Raw genomic sequence first — 7,651 nt, 5'->3', positions numbered from 1 at the left:
AACTCAATGCTTTTGGGCTTTTTTGCCCATCACCTCACCAAAACAGCCCTTATCTAGGTTTCCAATACCTCCATGTTACAAAGCCCAATCATCAATTCTCGGTCTTCATCTTACTCAGTCTCTCAGAAACATTTGACAATTTTTGTCCCTACCTTCTTCCTGAAAGTCTTTTATGATTTGCCTCCAGGATGCTCTTTTCTCTAGAGTCTCCTTCTACATCACTGGCCACTCCTTCTTGGTTGTTTCTCCTGGTCCCTGCTCAGATCTCAGACGTCTGAACATCAATGGCCCCAGACCCAGCCCTCGGCTTTCTTTTCCCGGTCTACCCTTCTCACTAGAGACCTCTCTAAGACCTCTTTCAGGCTCATGGTGTTAAATGCAATTTACACTGATGGCTCCCAGGTTTATCTCTCCTGCTAGACCTCTCTCCTGAATTCCACATGCCTCAACCCAACTTTACATCTCAGCTGGATTCTTAACACACATCTCAAACTTTAAACGAACAAAACCCAACTCCTGAGTCACATACCTCCCAGTCACATACCTCCCAATTCTCTCTCTCTCTCTCTCTTTGTCTCTCTCTCTCTCTCTCTCTCTGTCTTTCTCCCCTTGCTCAAAAACAGCTTCCCGTCGCACTCAGAGTAAAAGCTAGGGCCACCTGCTACCTCTCTGATTTCATCTTCCACCACTCTCACATGGGATTATTCTGCAACAGTTGCATTGGTCTTCTTGCTGTTCCTTGAATATACCAAACATGTTCCAGCCCTCAAAACCTTTGCACTTTCCATTTTCTCTTCTTTAAATGCCCCTCCTCCCAGAGAGCTTCATGATATGGTCCTTCACTGCTTTCAGTCTCCGTTTTCATGCAACCTGATTTGAGAGACTTTTTCTGACAACTGTGTTAGGTAGCAATTCCCTTTGTCCCCATCCTGGAACCAGAATGGGAGTTCTGGGTGAGCAGGTTGTATCTGAAGGGCTTAAAACAGTACCTAGGATGTGTATAGGTAATTTGTAGCTATTTGTGGTAAGCTCCTGTCCTTTTGGAGCTCACACTTTAGTAAGACAGACAAACATTGAATAATTAATGACACATATAATTAATCCTATTGCTGAAATATGTTGTGAAGAATAATTATAGGCCAGGCATGGTGGCTCATGCCTGAAATCCCAACATTTTGGGAGGCTAAGGTGGGTGGGTTACCTGAGGTCAGGAGTTCGAGACCAGCCTGGCCAACATGGTGAAATCCCGCTTCTACTAGAAACACAAAAATTAGCCGGGTTTGGTGGCATGTGCCTGTAATCCCAGGTACTCAGGAGCCTGAGGTGGGAAAATCGCTTGAACTTGGGTGGAGGAGGTTGCAGTGAGTGAAGATCACACCACTGCACTTCAGGATAGGCAGCAGAGTGAGACTCCCTCTCAAATAAAAAAAAAAAAATTACAGAGTAAATTTAGGGTATACGAGTAGCATATTCAAGGATGTTACATAAAAAGGAATATGGCTTCCAGACCCTAAGCTATGGGAACTCTCTAACTCCTTAAGGATCAGAGTTACGTGTCTCTTAGAAAAAAAAGGATGACATAGACATATCCAAATTGACTTGTCCTAGGAATTTCCAATTCTCTAGCATTTATTTATCCAAATATCTCTGCCTCCACTTTTAGCCACATGTAAAGCATCCTCAAGGTAGGTGGCAGAGCAGAGGAGATACCCTGTATGCCCAACCCTTTAGTGATAGAGAGTTTTCAGTTTGCTCAGAGGCCACTGTACCTCCATAGCTTCCAGTATCCTGTGCTTGGACTGTGCCTTCCGTGTATCAACTTAAAGATGCAAGTAGACACATGAGACAAGAGGTTCCATTGCATTTGGTGGCACCTTCTACACTATAGACATAGTGAGAGCTTGATCAGTGATGGATGGGTGGATGGATGGAGGCGTGGACAGGTAGGGATAAAGTGAGGAAGACGTCAGATCATCCAGGTTTTCCTCACGCTGGTTCCTCAGGTTCCTTGCCATTCCCTGTGGAACAAGAAGACAAATTCAAGAAGAATCTATGCCAGCCTGGTGGTTAGATCCTCAATTCCCATACCTTGGAGTTGTAATGCCACGGAAAAGAAATTTCCACCAACACCCTCACCAACCAGCATCCTTCAGCCTTTTTTGGGACCATGGTGGTTAGGACATCATCTTGAATCAAGCTTCCTATCCTGGAGCCCAAAGGTGGCTCCTTGTGCTGTTGGTCATTATCATCACCTGTCATCATAGGCTTTGTGAGTCAGTTCCTTGACCTCATCTTTTCCACTGATTTTTTTCCTCCATCCTAACTCAGCCACTCCCTCTATAGTCGTACCCCAGATTCATTTTATAGAAGAGGCAGGGGGAAAATGAAGGTCAGAAAAGGTAAAGTGAAATGCTCAAGGTCAACATCAAGAATTAATGAGAAAGGTGGGACTTGATTCAAAGTTGCCAATCCCTTAACAGCACTGCAACACCCTCTAGGAAATGTGCTCTGTATCCAGCCCCCACGCCTGGTACTTTGCATGCAAAGTTGCTGCTAGGGGATGAGCCAGGTTCCCAGTGAACAACCAACCCTTGGTCCTTCCGCCGGGGCTGAGCCCAAGTTAAGCAGACACTGAGCTGGGAAAGGGCGGGGAGAGGAGATTCTGCTCTGCTTCTAGATCATACTCCTTCCCAAAAAGATTGCAAAAAGAAAGCAACTTAAAGCCAGTATCCATCCAGCCCTTAAGCCAGAGGTTATGTGTTTGCCCGGGGGATGGAGTATAAAATAGCTGCTGGATGTGCACCACGTTTATCTTGTTCTCTGTGCCCCCGGAGTGTGCTGTTTACTTTCTCACTGGAGGTGCAATTATTTAATGAGGTGCTGAAGCCTGGGGAAGATTGCACATTTTAATCAAAGCACCAGAGGAGCAAGTCTAGATGACTTTACAAAATGTATTTGAGGCGAATTTTGCACAGCAATGTCTGGATATCAGGTAATTAAGTGAAAGGGGAAATAACTTCCCAAGGGGTGTAAACAAACACACCAAGTCAGTCTCATTTCAGTGTTATGCTGAGTGGGGAAAATGGATTTCGGAGTGGACCGTGGACTGCAACAGGGCTGCTTCCTCCAATGTCAAAACAGGCTTTGTGAGGCTGGGAGCTGCGGGGCCATGGTGCCTCCTACAGGTTGAGGGGAAAAAACAACCCTCAGAGAAAGTCTTGTCGAATTTCTTCAGTTAGAGGAGGAAGAGGAAGCCTGAAGCCTGGAAGGGCAAAGTGACTTCCTCAAGGTCGCATGGCTGTTTAGGGGAGGAGCAAAGACCAGACTGGTTTTCTGACCCTCAGTCCTGTGTTGCTTCCAGTCCACCAGGCCAATGCTACCCAAATGTCAGCTACTGGGAACAACAAAAGAAATAATAATAACAACCCAGTGACATCTAAAATAATGAGAGCTAACATGTATAAGTGTGTGTGCCAGGTGCTATGTCTTGTATGATGTCTCCATTTCTCATTAGATAGCTCCCCAAGACCCCAGGAAGAAGATACTATTATCCTCAGTCTAGAGGTGAGAAAACAGAAGCAGAACATTTAAGAAACCAGCCCAACATTACAAGTAGAAAGTGTCGTAGAGCAAGTGCCAGGCACAGATGCCCTGATATCCCATGGTTCCACAGTCTCTGAGCTTCCAGACCCTTCCCCAAGTCCCTAAGACTTCAGAAGCACAAGCCTAGAAACCTCCATCTCCAGGGTCCTGCTACTAAATCTGTTACTACATTTACCAAGTGATATCTCTTTGGGACCACACCAATCCTGATGAGTAACTCAGTCTTTTTCTCAGTTCCATGATAGCAAAACCAAAACAAAGCTGGAGGAAACAAAATGCAAGATGCATTTGCAAGTGTGGTTACTTAGGAGTCATGAGGGAGGGTCCCAGAGAACACCTTCCAGCCATCTCCTGAAAACAACCTTTTAGACATTTTCTTCCAAATTCCAGGGGTTTCTTTCCGGCTTTCTCATAGGCATTTCTTGCTCTTTCTCCTGCTTGGGTCTGGGCTATGGTTCAGCTTTCCAGTTCTTATCTTTCCCCTTATTCCACTTCTTCTATCTCCTTTGTCTCTTTCCTGCATTGTGAGGAAAAAATAAACAATTCATTTCACTGGACACCCATGCCTTCAGGGTCTCTCACCTTCTGCCCTGAGCAGCTTATCAAGATATTTTCTTGGACAGAGGCAATCTCCTTGTTGGACCGGGATTCTGGAACTAGCTGCTAAGAAAATGCATTATTCACTTTGTGACACCAACAAATATGAGGTCTCCACTTCTATTTTTTTATGCCCACATATATGTTTACTTGCACAGCATATGGTTTCTGCAGGATAATTCACATTTGGGACCCCAGAAGTTGAGCATCTTTGTTTATTATGTTTCCCCTGAACTTGTTCTTTCTTGAATTTCACCCTCAAGGCATCATAATGATGCAAACACATACTGGCTGAGGCGGAAGGATGTCCACCTGCCTCCTGACTCCAACCCCTGAAAAACAGCTCTCTCAGAGAGCACACATAGTAGAAGCTCCTTGAGAATAGAGTCCTTGGTTGGCTAAATTCTGTATCCCCAGAACCTAATACTATACATGGCCTGCATACAAAAGGCACTCATTCATTCTACATACATTTATTGAGCGCCTGTTATGATCAAGGCCCTATATTTTAGGTTTTGAAGATATACAAATAAAGAAAATATAGTCCCTAAACTCAAAGTTGGGTCTATATCAGAGGTTCTTGAACTTTTGCAGATATGGGTCCCAGTAAGAAATTGGTAAAAGCCTTAGATCATCTTTCCAGAAAATATACAGTATTTTGGCATACAATCCATGGTAGATAGCAGCAATGGCCCTAATTCTTCTCTCTTTTCTGAATGATGCCCTTGGCCACGCAGCATGGCCAACCTTCCCTCTGTGAGTAGGGGGGCCTTCCCCACCACTTGAATTTGAGCTCATCCATGTAACTTGCTTTGGTCAAAGGGATGTTAGTGGGAATGGCCAATGCAGAAGCTGATGAAACAGACTTGCATTTTGGGGCCTGATCTTTTGCATTTCCACAACCATTATGAGAAGGACCTCCTGGGTTAGCCTTCTAGTCCAGAAGGGAGATGGGAAGCATGTGGAACACGGCTCAGTTGCCGCAGCAAGGGCCAATCTCCATCAGCCAGCAGTCAGGTAATCCCAGAGGTGTAAACAAGCCCATCCAAGAGTGGCAGGACCCCTGCCTGGCTGAATTTCAGCTGACTCTAGACACATAACAAATATTCACTTACTATGGGCCACTGAGGTTTTGTGGTTGCTCTTATTCTGTATTATTGTGGCAGTAAGTAAATAATACAAAATTTTAAGGGCATATCATGGATAGCCTAAAGGTCCAAATACCCCAAGTTGAGAACCCCTGATCTTTTAGGGGACACAGAGAAGGATTCGTGAATTACAGCATAGTAGAAAGAATAACAATGGGGTAAAAGCAAGCACCTAACAAGCTCTTGTTTTGCACAGGAGGTGATGTCCAATCTAAAATCTGAAGAATAGGCAGGAATAGATCAACTTAAGACAGAGAAGAAACTGTTCCAGAAGTGGAAATTAGCAAGCGCAAAAACAATAAAATCAGAGAAAGCGTGGTCGATTAGTTATTTTGATGGGACTGCAAGCATTTTAGTTGCTCTTCAAACAGGTAGCTCTTCAAAAATTGAGAAAGGAGTCCTAAATACTTCCAATATCTAAAGATGCTGACATATTTTTAAAACGAAGGTATGCTAAAAAAAGAGCACAAAAATAATGGTACAACTTAAATATACCATTATTCGTAAGAACGAATAAACTGTTTTAACATCGGGAGGGATATAATGATCGTATGCATGGCCTTATTTGAATGCAACATTAAATGCCTAATCATGTTCTTCATAAATGTGAGAACTGGGACTGGTGGCCTTCCTGTCCCCACACCCCAATCCAGTCTAAAATAGAGGGTGTGAAGACAGAGGGGGTGTTAGTGAGAGCTGAGACTCAATAATGTCTTGTTCAACTGAGTTGAAATGAAGTGAATAATTTTCAGATTTCAACAAGAAGAAAATGCACCCTGGCTTAGTAAGAGTCCTCTCCATTCATCTGCTCATGGGCAGCATAAACTGGAAAGCCCTCAACTTCAACTACAGAGTTTGGTGCACAGACCCCCATCTTGGCCATCTTGATTCCCAAGAGGCCCCCAGCCACTCCACCGGCCCCGCGCAATTGGTCCAAGTTGCCCACTAGCCCACGGCGAGGTGATGATGGTGTCACACCACCACCTAGTGGCCACTCCTGTGAAATCGTATTCTCCTTAACCTCTGGGATTTATAAGCTCGCCCAGGTGAGTCTTCTGCTTGGGAAAGGACTACCAGTGACTGGGAGGACCTAGAGTACCTCTCTCTCAATATACTAAGGGTGATATAAAGTGTTTTGCCCAAATCCCAGCATGTAACACTGAGAGCTTAGTAACCGGAATTAACATTACCATTGTTATTGCCATGATACTGTAGAAATTCCTGAGTCTCTTTGAAATTAATTGGGCTGCCGGAAAATGAGATTTTTCAAAGATAATTAAGAATCCATTTCTACTTTAATTTCATTCAATAAACAGGTACTAAATGTTTAATATATGCCAGCACTGTGCTGTGTAACTGGGACAGCGTGAAGAAGATATAAAAATGGCTAAGATGCAGTCCCTGCTCTAAGACATTTCCAGTCCAGAAGGAGAAGTAGGCACGTAAACAGCCAGCTCTCAAGTGCTAAATAGAGACACAGCCAGAGTGCTGGCTATGACAGCGCGGAAGCAGCAGTGATTCATTTAGACGCCTGTGGTTTCCCTTAATTCTCAAAATAAAATCCTGGTCCTTACTATGGTCTTGCAGGGTCTGGCGGGGCTGCCTCTCTACGCTGCTTCTGGGCCTCTCTCCAGCACCTTGGAGAGCTCCTGGCCTCAAAGAAGGAAAGGAAATTTCATGAGATTGCAGAATAGGCAAAAGGCCGCGAGGGTGGGGGGTTGGGGGTTGCAGATGCTGTTTCTGGAGTCAAGGTTCTAGCTCTATGACCTTGGACAAGACACTTAATCTCTCTGTGTCTTATTAGCCTCATGGAGGAAAGGACGATGTTAATAACAGCACCTACCTCCTGGGGTCATTGTGAGGATTCAAAGACTTTATATTACAATGTAAGGCACTTAGTCTCTGAGGCATGGTAAATCTTCCTCTTTTTTTTTTAAGACATGGTCTTTTTCTGTCTTCTGTCACCCAGGCTGAAATGCATGGCACGATCACGGCTCACTGCAGCCTCAACTTCTTGGCCTCAAGCAAGTAGCCTCCCAAGTAGCTGGGTCTACAGGTGCTCACCACCACGCCCTGCTAAATTTTTTGTATTTTGTAGAGACAGGTTTTCCCCATGTTGCTCCGTCTAGTCTCTAACTCCTGAGCTCAAGCAATCAGACTGCCTTGGCTTCCCAAAGTGCTGGGATTACAGGCGTGAGCCACTGCACCTGGCCTAGATCCTCCATATTTTTATTACCAGCTGTACTCTGCAAAAACCTCCTGGGCTCTCCATGAGATGCAGATCCAACTTCGTAGACATTCAA

The 7,651-nt window shown here is 44.6% G+C and overlaps 1 long non-coding RNA gene across 2 annotated transcripts; it reads right to left on the bottom strand.

The window, feature by feature from the left end:
- Window positions 1-1,594: 1,594 nt before the first annotated feature.
- Window positions 1,595-7,302, bottom strand: LOC124903926 (uncharacterized). 2 transcript variants are annotated; one of them, XR_007065618.1, is made up of 2 exons: window positions 3,966-7,302; window positions 1,595-2,018 (listed from the first exon to the last, which is right to left on the bottom strand). It is a non-coding gene; the product is annotated as an uncharacterized LOC124903926 (long non-coding RNA). The 2 variants fall into 2 exon arrangements; XR_007065619.1 differs by having other exon boundaries at window positions 4,186-7,302.
- Between the last annotated feature and the right edge of the window lie 349 nt (window positions 7,303-7,651).

Source organism: Homo sapiens, chromosome 17 (genome assembly GCF_000001405.40).
Source record: "Homo sapiens chromosome 17, GRCh38.p14 Primary Assembly".
Taxonomy (NCBI): domain Eukaryota; kingdom Metazoa; phylum Chordata; class Mammalia; order Primates; family Hominidae; genus Homo; species Homo sapiens.
The sequence above is the reverse complement of the archived record's forward strand: the minus strand, read 5'-3'. Positions and strand labels throughout refer to the sequence as shown.